General features: G+C 37.0%; 1 protein-coding gene and 1 pseudogene across 8 annotated transcripts in view; both read left to right on the top strand.

Moving 5' to 3' along the window:
• BRWD1 (bromodomain and WD repeat domain containing 1) overlaps positions 1 to 15305 on the top strand; it is a 137037-nt gene that overhangs the window by 81197 nt on the left and 40535 nt on the right. For 5 of the 8 annotated variants that reach the window (XM_017028373.2, XM_011529611.2, NM_018963.5 and 2 more), the window contains 7 exons: positions 1443 to 1537; positions 3232 to 3421; positions 7518 to 7643; positions 7732 to 7839; positions 10580 to 10704; positions 11434 to 11516; positions 14819 to 14930. In XM_017028373.2, coding sequence (XP_016883862.1) covers positions 1443 to 1537; positions 3232 to 3421; positions 7518 to 7643; positions 7732 to 7839; positions 10580 to 10704; positions 11434 to 11516; positions 14819 to 14930 — 839 coding nt within the window. Of the gene's footprint in view, positions 1 to 1442; positions 1538 to 3231; positions 3422 to 7517; positions 7644 to 7731; positions 7840 to 9707; positions 9776 to 10579; positions 10705 to 10796; positions 11241 to 11433; positions 11517 to 14818; positions 14931 to 15305 lie in introns of those variants that run through there. The other 3 variants (XM_017028375.2, XM_047440841.1, XM_011529613.2) reach the window with 3 other exon arrangements.
• On the top strand, positions 3966 to 4688 carry METTL21AP1 (methyltransferase like 21A pseudogene 1; annotated as a pseudogene).

The following is a 15305-nucleotide window of genomic DNA, read 5'->3' as shown; positions in this document are numbered from 1 at the left end:
TTTTATCAGTTTACCTACTGAAGGATGTGTTGGTTGCTTCCAAGATTTGGCCATTATAAAGTTGGTATAAACATCTGGGTGTAGGTTTTTGTGCGGACATAATTTTTCACCTCATTTGGGTAAACATCAAGTGTGATTGCTGGATCTTATTATGTTTAGTTTTATAAGAAACTGCTAAACTGTCTTCCAAAGTAGCTGTACCATTTTGCATTCCTATCAGTAATGAATGAGAGTTCCTGCTGATCCACACCCTTGTTAAAAAATTCTTTCCAGCATCATCTGTAGATTCACAATCCCAAACAAAATCCCAGCAAATTAATTTTACTGACAAACTGATTTTTCGAGTTTATATAGAGAGGAAGAAGATCCAGTATAGCCAGCACAACACTGAAGAAGAATAAAACTGAAAGACTGACACTCTACTTGGCATTAAGACTTACTGTAAATCTGCAGTTTTCAAGACAGTGATGCTGGTGAAAGAACAGATCAATGGAACAACATAAAGAGCCCAGAAACAGACTGACACAAATATATTCAAACGATCTTTGGCAAAGGAGCAAAGAGAACTTGGTGGACAAATTTATCATTTTCAGCCAGTGGTAGAATAACTGGACATTCACATACAAAATAAATCCTAGACACCAGTCTTTCACAAAAATTAACTCAAAATGAATCATAAGCTTAATGTAAATGTAAAACAAAAAAACCATAAAACTTCTAGAAGATAACAAAGGGCAAAATCTATGTGTCCATGAGTGTGGCATTGACCTTTTTAGATACAATATCAAAAGCACAATCATGAAAGAAAAAATATAAAAAATTTGGACTACACTGAAATGAAAACTGCTTTGGGAAAGACACTATTAAAAGAATGAAAAGATAAGCCACAAACCAGGATAAAATATTAGTAAAACTTATATCTGATAAATGACTTATATTCACAATATACAAAGAACTCTTAAAACCAAGCAATAAGAAGGCAGCCTAATTTAAAAATGGGCAGAAGATCTAACAGACACCTCACCAAAGAAGATAAACAGATGACAAATAACCATATGAAAAGCTACCAAAATATGTCACAGGGAATTGAAAACTAGAACAACAATTAGATACATCTATTAGAATAGCTAAAGTCCAAAATGGAAAACATTTACATTGACTTTTTATTAACTTTACTCAGAATGGCCTGTTGTATCACTTTCTTTGCTAATGGTGGTAGTGTTAAATCTTACGGATGTTCTCTTTTTGTCTTATGCTTTGATAAGAAAGGGATGTAGTGAAGAAGTTTGCTTTTTAAGTTTATCTGATTATATATTTACTGATTACTGTTCATTTTTCTTAGATGATTTAATCTTACTGGGGAGGATTGTGTACAGCTTTTTTCTGGACATGTGTTGTTTAACTTCAGGGATCAAGATTTTTTTCCCCCCTTCACAAATTAGGAGACTTCCTGTGATCAGAGTGAAGGTTCTGGTTCTTCAGAAGAGGATGAATGGAGAAGTGACAGAAAAAGTGAGAGTTACAGCGAAAGTTCAAGGTATCTGTTTTTATTGTTGTGGTCTTTTAAGCATTTTAGTCATAGTCTTGGATGGAATCATACTTGAATTTTATTCAAGAGGCAAGAATTTGCAACTGTGGAACAGTTTTTAATACACTTAAAAGGAGACAAAAACTAGATCCAACAGCTGTTCCTATAGGAGTATTTCAGGAGTTTTTTTTTTTTTTTTTTTGACTTTAAGCAGTTGACCCAGCACTGTTGAACATGCATACTGAAAATATAAATTTAATCTTGGTTGCACTTAAAAAGACTAGTATCTAAAGTATGTGTGGTAAAACCACAGTATATTCATTATTATTGCATGTGTTGAATTTTTGTTAGTTTTGAGATCCAGATTTCCTGGGTCCAAAATGTCAGCCTCTGGTTCTTGGTGCACGTCACCTTCATCTCAACAGATCCTCAATCCAGAAAACTGGACCTTAATCTCTCTTGTCCACCTATCCGTAACATGGCTAGAAAATTCTCCTTCCTATCACTCAGATCATCTTTCTTTTTTTTTTAATTGGTACTGTTTGGTTCAAACCATTATCACATACTCTCTGCTTCCTTTCTTGTCTTGTTTTACTTCATTATGATAAGGAGCTAGAATGATTTTTTTAAGAACATAATGTATTATCTTTTTTTAAACAAATTTAATTGTGGTAAAATACACATAACAGAAATATAACCATTTAAAGCATGCAGTTCAGTACTGTTACGTACATTGACATAGTTGTGCAGCCAGTCTCCAGAACCTTGTTTATCTTGCAAAACGGAAATTCTATACCAATTAAAGAATGATTCTTTTCTTTACCCTTCCTCATGTCCCTGGCAACCACTATTCTACCTTCCGTGTTTTCATTCATTGTCTTCTAATTCAACTTTTCTTGAATTTTATTTATCTAAAACAGATGCTTTTATAATTTTCATAAATAAGCTCTTTTTCTAATAAATACCTTTTTGTAATGTGTTTACCTGTGTATTTGATAGAGACGAAAAGGTGTGTGGTTGGTTGAAGTTGGGCCAAGGATGGCCCAAGTAGAGTCCTTTATTTTTATTATTATTTCTGTTTGGTGAAGCTAGTAGTGGACCAGGGACTAGTTTTCTATAACTAGTTTCCTCTTTGACTCTGATTTTGCTAAGGACTAGGACTAGTCTCTTTCTATCAGGGAGACTCCTCTTGGCAAGAAACTGACTACTTAAGGCTTTCAGTTTGGTGTAGCTATGCTTCCCTTGGGCTTCTCAGTGTGTTCATTGATGGCTTGTGATTCCAGTTGAAATTCCTGGTCTATACCTCAGCTTCCTCCAACATGGGGGTAGTGGTGGGGCCTATTTTTGGGGTTTTGTATGATTCTTATGTTTCTATAAGTCTGTGTTTTGTTTCCTTGAAGGGGTAATTGCTAGTTGTCTTCCATCATATTTTATCTACAATATACCTAAATTTTTTTTTTCGGGTTTACATCCTTTCCTAATTTCTAGTGTTAGTGAAGATTTCTCTTTTTCTCTTATGTTTGTCATGATCTTTAGTCACTTCAGTACTTGCTGGTAGTGAGGGGAGAATGCTCAAGTTAAGTCTTTCTGGTATCTTCCCTTCCCTTTTTCTCCTCTCTCTGTTCCCTCAATTTTATATGATTGACTTGCTATCAGTGCTTATATTCTGGCTCCATTCAACTGAAAGCACTCCCCTTTTCTAGTGACTCTTCATCTAGATATTCCGATTGGACAGCTGATGCGGGCATCAATTTGCAGCCTCCTTTAAGAACATCATGTCGTCGACGAATTACTCGATTTTGTAGTAGTTCAGAAGATGAAATATCTACTGAGAATTTATCTCCTCCAAAAAGAAGACGAAAGAGAAAGAAAGAAAATAAGCCTAAGAAGGAGGTAAGAAAAACGTATCTTTAAAAATAGCATGTATCATGATACCCCAGCTTTACCCCATTTCAAATGTTGTTTTAACATTTCTCGTGATACTGGCATAGTGGTGCCTTGGGTGTCTTGGGCCCTGCTCTGGGGCTGGTCTGGGCGAGCTGTCAGCCCTCCTTGGGGAAGCTCACTGCACTCCCAGGGTGCAGCAGGTACCCTGTGTGTCTTGGGGATTCTGAAGGGCACTGTGGACTCCTCTGTCTCCTACTTTCAACCCCTGTGGATAGCAGGAGCTCTGGGGCCTGTGGGAAGGAAGGGAGCATCTGTCAGTCCTTTGGAGGGATGGGTGGGGGCAGATATAGTGGGACTTATGGGGGAGGCCTTTGCTTCACAGATGCGGAGTCCTTTGCAGGACTGGGGCCCTGGTCTCCCCGCGAGAGACTTGAAGTCCACCAGTGTCGTTCACTTCAGTCTTGAGGAGATGGAACTGCCATGACTGCATGTTTCTGGCTGTGTCAAAAGGCAGGATAATCTCAAACCGTTAACATCCAGTCTAAGTGCAGGTCTGGTCAGAGGGCTGGGTGCAGGCAGATTGGCCCTGTTGCCCTATGAGGAGACCGTGGGATTGGGGTTGCAGAAATTCCATAAGCCTCTTGCCACCTTTGTGAACCACATGACACAGATCTGGCAGGACCGGAGACAACTGGGAATTGCCACAGTGGTTTGGGATGTGGCCATGGTTCTCTCCACACATCTGGAGATGGGAGCTGTGGAGCTCTTGGGCTGCCCCGCAGTGAAACTGGGTGCTGGCATAGGGCTGATGGGCATAGTGGCTGCCCTGCTGGGTGCTCATGTGACTGTCATAGATCGAAAAGTAGCATTAGAGTTTTGTAAATCAAATGTTCAAGGCAATTTACCTCCTTGTATCCAACCCAGAGCTTTTGTTAAGGAGCCGACTTGGGGAAAGAATTTGGGGAGTTTTTCTCCTAGAGATTTTGACCTGATACTTGGAGCCGATATCATATATTTAGAAGAAACATTCACAGATCTTCTCCAAACACTGGACCATCTCTGTAGCAATCACTCCATGATTCTTTTACCTTGCTTAATTCACTATGAACGGAGTAACTTTTGAGCAATGCTGGAGAGGCAGTTTACTGTAGGGTTCACTATGATACTGAGAAAGACGTACATACTTACACAGAAGAGAAGCCACAGCAAGGACCTACAGTTGGCTATCATTTATAAGAATGCTGTCATTGAGGGTGTTGATTAAGGTCTTGGAGACAAAACACACATGCAGTTTTAAAACAAAGCAGTGCTTTATGCCATCGCTGTGATTTATTTATTTATTTATTTTTTATTTTTTGAGAGGAGTCTCTGTTGCCTAGCCTGGAGTGCAGTGGTGCAATCTTGGCTCACTGCAGCCTCTGCCTCCTGGGTTCAAGTGATTATCCTGCCTCAGCTTCCCAAGTAGCTGGGACTACAGGCCCACGCAACCACGCCTGGCTAAGTTTCGTATTTTTAGTAGAGACATGGTTTTGTCATGTTGGCCAGGCTGGTCTCGAACTTCTGACCTCAGGTGATCTGCCCACCTTAGCCTCCCAAAGTGCTGGGATTACAGGTGACCCACTGTGCCTGGCCATTGCTGTAATTTTTAGTCATATTTACTTACTCTGAAATTCCATTAATGTTAAAAGATTAAGTGTGAGATTTTGGTTCATGCTGTTTCTGTACTCCATACTGCTCCCTCTTGATAAACAGTTTTCACTGATGATGTGAAGCATTGGTATAAAGGTGTCTTTAAACTAGCAAGCTTGTTTTGGCGAGGTTAAATCATGCAAATAATTTTAAACACCTTCTGAAATACATCGTGTTTAGCCCAGTTTTCTGATTTTCTGGATATAAGACAAGAGGTTTAACATGTTCCCTGAGCTGTTGGTGCTATTGAAATCTTTTGCCCCATTTAAATTGTAAAAACTCTGGGTTGGTTGAGTGGGGTGTGAGTTTTCTGGGGTCTCATATTATGCTTTTTGGCTTAATTTCAGGTTTAAGTATCTAAACAAAGGGTTAAGTAAAAATAAAGTTTTAGTTACTTTTTGAGAGTACCTTAAGTCTTGGACTCGAATATAGGTTATCTTTATCAAAGCAAAAGCTGTGGTTTTCCCCCTCAGCTTTACCTTGTCTCAAATGTTGCTTTAATGTAATTGTTTCTTAAGCTTTCCATGCCTTCTTAATAATATATAGGATAACAGTAAAAAAGATTCTAAATCCCATCCCTCCATTAAGAGGTTAGCTTCCCAAACATAAGCTCCTTCTGTATTGTACTTGTAATTGTTCATTCAGCGTCTGTATTACCCAGTAGACTGTAAGCTTCTTCAGGGCCAGGAATGCTTCTGCATCTCTCATTGTTGCTTCCCCAGGATCTGGTATTAATATATCATAACCAAATAATGAAAAAGATACATTCCAGTTAGAGGCTTTTGATTGTTGGTTTAAATGATTGTTATATTGTTTTATGATTGACTTTGATACACTTCATGAAGTCACACATAAACTTTTTAAAAATTATTTTTATTTATTTATTTATTTAGAGACAGAGTCTTACTCTGTCACCCAGGCTGGAGCGCAGTGGGGCAATCTCGGCTCACTGCAACCTCCACCTCCCGTGTTCAAGCAGTTCTTCTGCCTCAGCCTCCCAAGTAGCTGGGACTACAGGCACACACCACCACGCTCGGTTAGTTTTTGTATTTTTCATAGAGACGGGGTTTCACCATGTTGACCAGGGTGGTCTCGAACTTCTGACCTCAAGTGATCCACCTGCCTCAGCCTCCCAGAGTGCTGGGATTACAGGCGTGAGCCATGGCGCCCGGCCAAGCTACTTTATTATTAACACTTCTCCATCTCCACTGTTCTGAGTAGTGGGCTTGACAGTTAAACCTTTCCAAATCTGAAACTTAAAGAGAAAGCTCTATTTTGCTCAGAATCTCACGGCAACACTTATTTTCTCCTGTCAATTTCAACACTAGTAGTAGACTTCAAGGAATTTTAAGGTGCTTTTTTTTTGTGTGTGTGTGTTATTGCTACGTTTACCATTTTCATTTTACATGTCTGTCTTCATACTTGTCTCTTCATTTAATAACATCCCTATTTATTTGTGTACACTGTGCTGATTTCAAGCAGGTAGTCATTGTTTAAAGATGTTAAGTCTTTGTATTTATCTATTGCTGTATATAACAAACCACCCTAAAATTTAGGTGTTTACATGGCAAACGTTGCATATTTCATGTATTGGTTGATCAGGAACTGGGAGCTGATTTGACTGGGTGATTTTGGCTCATGAGGTTACAACATGTTGACTGGGGCTGCAGTCATCTGAGGACTTGATGAGGGTTGGATGATATTCTTTCCGAGCTTATTCATATGGCTTTTGGCCTCAGTTCCTTGCCACACAGGTCTCTCCTTAGCTGGCTGCTTGAGTGTTGATTTTCAACTCAAGCTGGCTGCTTGAGTTATGATTTTCCTCAGAGTGAATGATTTAACAGTAGCCAGGGATAAGCCCCCATTTATGACCTAGTCTTAGAAGTTGCACATAGTCTCATCGGCTTTATTATATTTGGTAGAAGTGAGTCATTAAGTGTAGTCCACACTTAAGAGGAGGAGACTTCCACTTCTTGAAAAGGAGAGAACTATTGGGGAATTTGTAGGCATATTTTGAAATCACCGGTCTTACAACCTAAAATCAAGAGGAGACTCCTTGTGATGATTAGCCTGTGGCCAAACTCAGAGTGGAGTCTTGGCAGAACAGGCTATGGGTAAAAGAGGATTTAGGCTGGGTATTAGCCCCCTAAAATGGGATGTAAAATAGCATGAAGAATCTATCAGAAATTTAGGAGATGATGCTAGGAAAATGTTAGGTAGATTTACAATGCTTTTTTAAGTGATATATTCCTGTGTAAAGGAACTAAATATATATGCTGTGTGAAAACTAATCATTAGATGGACATGGCAAAAATAGTCATTCTGAATGGTGAAAGTTTCTTTTATTTTTCATTCAGACAGTGCATGCTGCCCCTTTCTAATCTAAGAAACTTTGTTCTCTTCCCCTTGGTAGAATTTGCGGAGGATGACTCCAGCAGAGCTTGCAAATATGGAGCATTTATATGAATTTCACCCTCCAGTTTGGATTACTGACACCACACTTAGAAAATCTCCTTTTGTTCCTCAAATGGGTGATGAGGTGAGAGTAATACAAATTTAAAAACACGAATATGGAACATAAAGTTTATATTGCTCTTAATTTTTAAATGCATATTTCCCTTTTGTAGGTAATATATTTTCGACAGGGTCATGAAGCTTATATTGAGGCTGTAAGAAGAAATAATATTTATGAACTGAACCCTAATAAGGAGCCATGGAGAAAAATGGATCTTAGGGTAGGATGATGGCATTATTAAATCATTAAACATTTTAGCACATACATAGTTAAATTACTTACAAATCTATTTAAAAACCTGTTGGAAACATATTTTATTACTTTCTTTCCTACTTGATAACATTTCTGCTGTAACCAAACCTTAAGATCCTGTGGGAATGGCTTGTTTGTCAGTGGGCAAAATTTGTATGTTGCTGATTGGTGTGTAAAATGTTAAATGCAACAACCTAGAGTTTCAGAAAGGCAGCTTGGCAATATATATATTATCACTCTTAAAAATGTTTATGTATCCAAGACAGATTTTCAGAGGAAGAAATGCAAGTTTTCAAAAGAAGAAATAAAAACTGGAAGAAGGGTTTAACCTCATGGATAATAAAATAAGGAAATAATAATTTTTCCTTTTCAATACTTAGCCAATTTTGTGATTTCGTTTGTTTTTAGCTCAAGAAAGAATTCCACATTTTAGCAAGTGGCAAAGATGTTGGTTTGTTAACAGTTATTCAGATTGCTGGTGGGGTGTGTGAAGTGGTCCAGGCTTTCTAGGGGATATTTTGTTAATAGTAGTTGAAACTGAAAAATATTTGGAACTTTTAATTCTGTGATTTTACTCTTCTGGTAATTTGGAAAACAAGCAGAAATGCTTGTAAATATATGAGTATTGTAGTTCACTCACTGTTGACAGAAACAAAGCTGGAAAAAAAAAATTCAGATATTCCACAATAGTGAATGAACCAAATCATGGTGCATTCACACAGTCACTTACTATGTACAGCCCATCTTGTACTTGAAGGTTGAAAAATATTTGTTGAATGAATGATGGATACATTTTCACAGTGTATTACTAATAGGAAAAATGGGGTGTGAAGTGGTATTTCTGGTTATGGTAGCAAAATTTTGAAAACATTTGCAGCCAATCAAAAGAACAACATCAAAATGTCAATGGTGATGATCTGTGGGGTAGTAGTACACGTGTTTTTTTATTTTTTATATTTTTATTCTACAGATTTTGATACTTTTAAAAACTTAGAAAATGAAGAAAATGCTAGTTATTTTAACAAATATAGCTGTTTTTAACACTTATATTCAACTTAATGGCTCTGCTTGTATAAGTTAGGCTTTATATACATTGGCGGTTTTATTTATGTCTGTTTAACTTAGGACTGTGTACCTAAGTACAGTCCATCCTCATTATTCTTGGATTCTGTATTTGTGAACTGCGTACTTGCTTTATTTGTAATCCCCCAAACAGTACTCTCAGAGCCTTTTGGTCATTTCTGGACATGCTCAGGGTGGTGAAAAATTTGACTTGCCTGACGAGCATGTTTCTAGTTGAGGTTGAACAAGGTGTTGCTCTGCCTTTTTTTTTTTTTAAGCTCTCGCACTGCAAACAAGTGTCCTTTTCATGGTCTATTCAGTGCCACATGTTTTCCATTTTTGTGCTTTTTCTGGTGACTTTGCTGTTTAAAATGGCCCCTAAGCGTAGTGCTGACATGCTCTCTAGTGTTCTTAAGTGCTAGAAGGCTGAGATGTGCCTTATGGAGAAGGTATGTTAGATAAGCTTCATTCAGGTATCAGTTAAATGTTTGCAAATCAACAACATATTAAATAAGGTACCTTTAAACGGAAACACGCATAAAACCAAGTTACGTATGCACTGGTTTACTACAGTGTTGTGACCAGAATTTTGCAGGAACCTATCCCTATATATTCTCTATAGCACTGATTTAGTATTTTATTTCAGTGTTCTAGGTGACTATAGAACATAACTGCTGTGAATAATGAAAACTATGCTTAGCACTTTGTTTGGTACATTATAATAATAACATTTGTTCAGTGAATAAGTGGATGAATGATCTGTTGTATTCCTAGTATCAGAGAAGCAGACACTGGGGGGAAGGTTGACTATGGCAAATCCATTTGATGGATACTCCATCCAGGTAGGGACTTTCACTTGTTTACCGTCCTGTCCCTACTGCCTAGAAGAGGTCATAGCATATGGTAGATTCTCAACAAATATTACTTACTGAATGTATTAGGCAGAAACTTAATATCAAGATTTTGAAGAACACTTATGAATAAGTAGAATGCTTACACATTTTCACTGTATAATATAAAGCTATATAAATAAAAATGTGCATTGACTGGGTGTGGCAGGCCACACCTATAATCCCAGCACTTTGGGAAGCTGTTGTGGGAGCATCACTTGAGCCCAGGAGTTCGAGACTAGTCTGGACAACATAGGGAGACCTGTCTCTACAAATAATAAAAAATTAGCTTGGTGTGGTGGCATGTTGTACCTGTAGTCAGTCCCAGGTACTCGGGAAGCTGATGTGGGAGGATTGATTGAGCTCAGGAGTTTGAGATTGCAGTGAGCCATGATTGTGCTACTGCCCTCCAGCCTAGGCAACATGGTGAGATCCTGTTTCCAAAACAAAGCCAGAAGGAAATATGTTAGATTTTTAACAGTGATTGTCGTTAGATATTGCGCTAATCCGAGATTTGTGTTTTCAATCTTACACTTTTGTAATGTATTTTCTAAAGGATGTTCTTTGTATTAGAAACTGTATTAAATATGTGGAGATTAACTTTAGCAAAATTGAATGTAATTAATGGTATTAATTAAACTTGTCTGCGGGTTTGGAAGCCTAAATTATGAGTTTACTTAATATAACAGTATGTGGAGAATTATAGTATTAAGGAATTGCTTTTATTTTAACCATTAAAAAATATGTCTGTTAAAGGATCAAGAATTGGTTAAAATAGTTGGAATACGATATGAAGTTGGGCCCCCTACACTCTGTTGCCTAAAACTAGCATTTATAGATCCAGCAACTGGAAAACTTATGGACAAATCTTTCTCTATTAGGTATGTATTATTTTTTAAAATGGAATTACTTAAATTTAAATTTGCCATTTTGCTGATTGAATGATTAGCATGCCCTTCCCATTTAACTCCAGGGTAACTGGTAGAGCACTGTGGATAGCCTAAGATGTGGCTCGAGCTTCTGATGGCTAGGAAACCCATCCCTGACCCTGAAGTCATAGTAGGCATGTCACAGTTATAGTTAAGTGTGGGCAGTCTGTTTTATATGGTTTTCATGCTGCTTATGTGGGTGGGGAATTCTGACATACGGGCCAAATTTTTTCTGCCCTTTGTTTTTGAAAAAATTCAGAATAAATAATTTCCTACACCTGTGCTGTCTAATAAGGTTACCACTAGTCACATGTGGCTACTGCTCACTTGAAATATGGATGGTTTGATTGAATGTCTTAATATGTGACTTGGCAGAGTATGAGGCATAAACATTTTTTTTTAAAGAAATGAATGTGTTGTGAATGTACACACTGCATTTTGAAGAGTAGTTATGAAGAAAAAATATGTCAGATCTCTATTTTGTTTTGATAACATATTGAAATAATATTTTGGATATATTTAAAATATGCTATGAAGTTTACTGTTTTACCTTTTAAAATATAGCTGGTTGAAAATTAAAAATTACATTCGTAGATCTCATGTTTCTTTTGGACAGTGCTGCTTTTAGACTATATAACCTGCTATGTAGAGAGTTTAACAATTTTTTAAATTTTTGTCTAGATATCATGATATGCCAGATGTTATTGACTTTCTTGTATTGCGTCAATTTTATGATGAAGCAAGACAGAGGAATTGGCAGTCTTGTAAGTCTATCCTTACTAAGTTTTATATACCCTTAAAAATTAATCTGTTTTATTGGTCTACCTTTTTGGCTGTGGGACTCTTAATTATAGTATATACAAACATGTAAATTCCAGAAGAGATATAAGTGACCTATAAATATATTTTGCTTACGGCTTGGTACTTACTGATTATGCAGACTTTCTTGGTAGGGGCCGGGGGACGGTGGGCATGGCACGCATTTTCTCCCTAGGTCACCCAGGCTGGAGTGCAATGGTGTGATCTCAGCTCACTGCAACCTCTGCCTCCAAAGTTCAAGCGATTCTCTTGCCTCAGCCTCCTGAGTAGCTAGGATTACAGGTGTGCGCCACTACGCCCGGCTAATTTTTGTATTTTTAGTAGAGACAGAGTTTCACCATGTTGGTCAGGCTGGACTCGAACTCCTGACCTCATGATCCACTCACCTCTGCCTCCCAAACTGCTGGGATTAGAGGTGTGAGCCACCGTGCCCAGCCCTATTATGTAGACTTTTTTAGACGAGCAACTTTTCTTCTGTTCTTTTGGTTCATGACGTTTGGAAAAGATTATTTTCACTCCTTGACTATAGGCTAGGGTAGACTTACTTCCTTTTAGACTTCCCTGTACTATATTGTATATAATTATCTTTGATGTAACATTGGCATAATTTACACAATTATACTAGGATCTAAAATGATCAGAAGGTTGAAGAGTAATTTCAGATTTCACACTGAAAATGTTCTGGTATACCCAATTATTTTACCCTTGATATCATAACAACGTAGACTTAAATGGGAAGACTTGACACTGTTTTGTTAAGAAATAAAAAATTCATATACACTTTGCTTTATAACCATGTAATGTATAGGTGGGCAGAAAAATTAAAAAATTAAAATTACCTCAATGTAATTTTACACATTCGAGTAAAATTACACATTGGAGTAATTTTAGTACCTCAATGTAGGTACTAAATTACTCGAATGTGATTTTTGTGATGATCATTTAAGGAGGGCTCACTTATTCAGAGTTGTGTAGATTATTAATCTCAGGATATAATTGATGATTGAATGACTGTCATTAGGCTGGGTAGTAATAGCAACTGTTAATAGTAACTGTAGTACCTGTTTTCACAGGTGTACAAATATATGTTCAGTGTGTAATGCTATCCAGGGAGCTTGTGTATTGAGTTAGAAGTAGGATGGTTCGTTCTTTTATCAGTTCTTGGATTTTTGTTAGAAATACTAAGTTTTACCCAGGCTGTGTCATCTGGTGTACACATTCATAAATGATGTTAAGACATTGATCTTTCTAGTTACTGCAGTTTCTTTCTTTCTTTCCTTCTTTTTTTGGACACAAGGTCTTGCTCTGTTGCCCGGGCTGAAGGGCAGTGGTGCAATCAGAGCTCACTGCAGCCTCAACTTCCTGGGCTCAAGCGATCCTCCCACCTCAGCCTCCTTTTTGGCTGTGGGACTCTTAATTATAGTGCATACAAACATGTAAATTCTGGAAGCTGCACCATGTGCAGCTAATTTTTAATTTTTTTTGTGGAGACAGGGTCTTGCTGTATTGCCCAGGCTGGTTTTGAATTCCTGGGCTCAAGCAATCCTCTTGCCTCAGCCTGCCTAAAGTGTAGGAATTACAGGTGTGAGCCACCATATCTGGCCACTGCTGCCTTTTTGTGTGGTACTACAAGAAGGTAAATTTTAGATAAAGTCCCTAATCATCCTCATCTGACGTGAAAGATTGTCAGGGCGTGTGGCTCCTCTTTATAGATTATTCTCCTGGTAACATCTACACAAGTAATCAAGATTATTTTGGGAGTAGATGCAGAGAAAATTTTTCTTGAAGAAAAACATACAGCCACAAAAATAACATGAAGCAACATTAGCAGGTTGTATAGTTGTGTTCCAAATAACTTTAAAGCTTCCCAGCTATTATGATTTTTCAGCTCCCATGAGGTGTAAGAGGCTCTCATTTTTGCCAACATGTCCATTAATTTTTTTAAAACTGAATTATCTACAGTTAAACTCTAGAGATGGAGTCCCAGATGCCTCCTGTAATTTAGTGGTTTTTGTTTTATTTTTGTGGTTGAGAAATTATTGGACCAGACCTGTTATACTACACTTTAATTCATTTTGCTTCCCCATTTTTGCGTGGAATTTGAGTAGTATGGCAAGAAGAAGTTGCTTGTTTTCATTTTTACAGTGGATTTTTATCCTTCTCTTGAAAGGCCAAAGTAGGTTTATTTGAAAAGCCTTAACATAAGATTACCAGGGTGATCAGCTAGCAAAAACATAGAAAAGACACTTTTATTATGAGAAAACTTAATTTTTTCAGGCTCCTTTTTATTTAAAGGGTTGTTTTTGTATGAAGAAATATTTTTATCTAAACTGAAATTATCTTCTAGTATTAGGTAAATAGCAAGAAAAATATACACTTAATTTTTTATATCAAAGACTCTCTTCTAACATGTTTTTATGTTTGGCCTCTCAAAATTGAGGCAGCTGATTTTATGACAATAATTTATTATTATTACATTCAGTTGTAATTAATGTTTATGTTAAATTAGGGTATTAGAGATTTGGATAAAATCATGGTGTGGTTTGTCTTAAATTGTAAGTTTAAAGCTATACTAGTCTCCTTAGATTTCTTTCAGGGGCTATGGTTTCAAGTGATTTTGAAGTAAAATATATGTAAAACTCATGTTTACATAAGTTTGAAAATATGCTAAAGACTAAAACATGTAGGTCTAGTAGTTATGGCATTATTTTTTTTCAAACCTTTGAAGAATTCACTGTAAGCATACTTTAATTATTCAAGACTGTTTGCCAGGTATATTATATTCTTTCTTGGGGATAAATTGTAGCTTTAATTTTGATTATTTCTATAAAACTTTCCTTGAGAAAAGAACTGTTGATCTATATCCCGAAGAATCATCAGTGCTGGATAGGTGACTTTTATTGTTTCATTGGTTTTGTTTTGTAAATGGTGGGAAGGGTAAGAAGGAAGAGATATGGTTACTGCAGCAGTTCATGTTTCTATTGTAATGAATGTTAAACACAGATCTAGTGCAGTTTATTTCACTGGTTGAAGTGTTAGAGTTGTAAAATACATCTAGAAATGCATTTAATCTAAAAGTTAAATTTTTTATGCCATATTTTTCTTGGTTTGTTTAGGAGCGCTGCTTGCCTGTTTTTGTATTGTGCTTTTGGCTTTTTTATCTGTATCATATGGTATTTTGTAGATTAAAAAAATGTTAATGAATGTTAGCAGAGAAATGCCTCAGACTTGATCATTTCTCTCCTAGGTGACAGATTCCGCTCTATTATTGATGATGCTTGGTGGTTTGGAACAGTGTTAAGTCAAGAGCCATATCAACCACAGTATCCTGATAGTCATTTCCAGTGTTATATTGTTAGGTTTGTATACAGATGAAAACTAATCATTTCCCAGTAATTCAGTGTGGCAGGTTGCTGTATAAATAATACATTTCTGGTTTTTAAAAAAACATGGTTTTTATCTGTCATTAAGTCATGTCAGGCTGACCCGAAATGTCTCTCAGACATGCACCTACTCTTTGTTTCCTATTCACCAGTACTCCCCTTGGTTCAGGTTCTGCTTGCTTTCCTGGAACTATTTCTGTAGCCACCTAATATTTCCTTTACCTCGTATTGTCAGTGTCCTAGTTCAGAAGCAGATACTATATCATTAATCTTCTTCAAAGAAACCTTTGACGCCTCTTCATTGGCAATGGGATAAAAACCATTGACTGTGGCTGTAGTGGAATTCAAGGG

This window comes from Homo sapiens, chromosome 21, assembly GCF_000001405.40.
Source record: "Homo sapiens chromosome 21, GRCh38.p14 Primary Assembly".
Taxonomy (NCBI): domain Eukaryota; kingdom Metazoa; phylum Chordata; class Mammalia; order Primates; family Hominidae; genus Homo; species Homo sapiens.
This window is presented reverse-complemented; position numbering and strand designations above follow the sequence as displayed.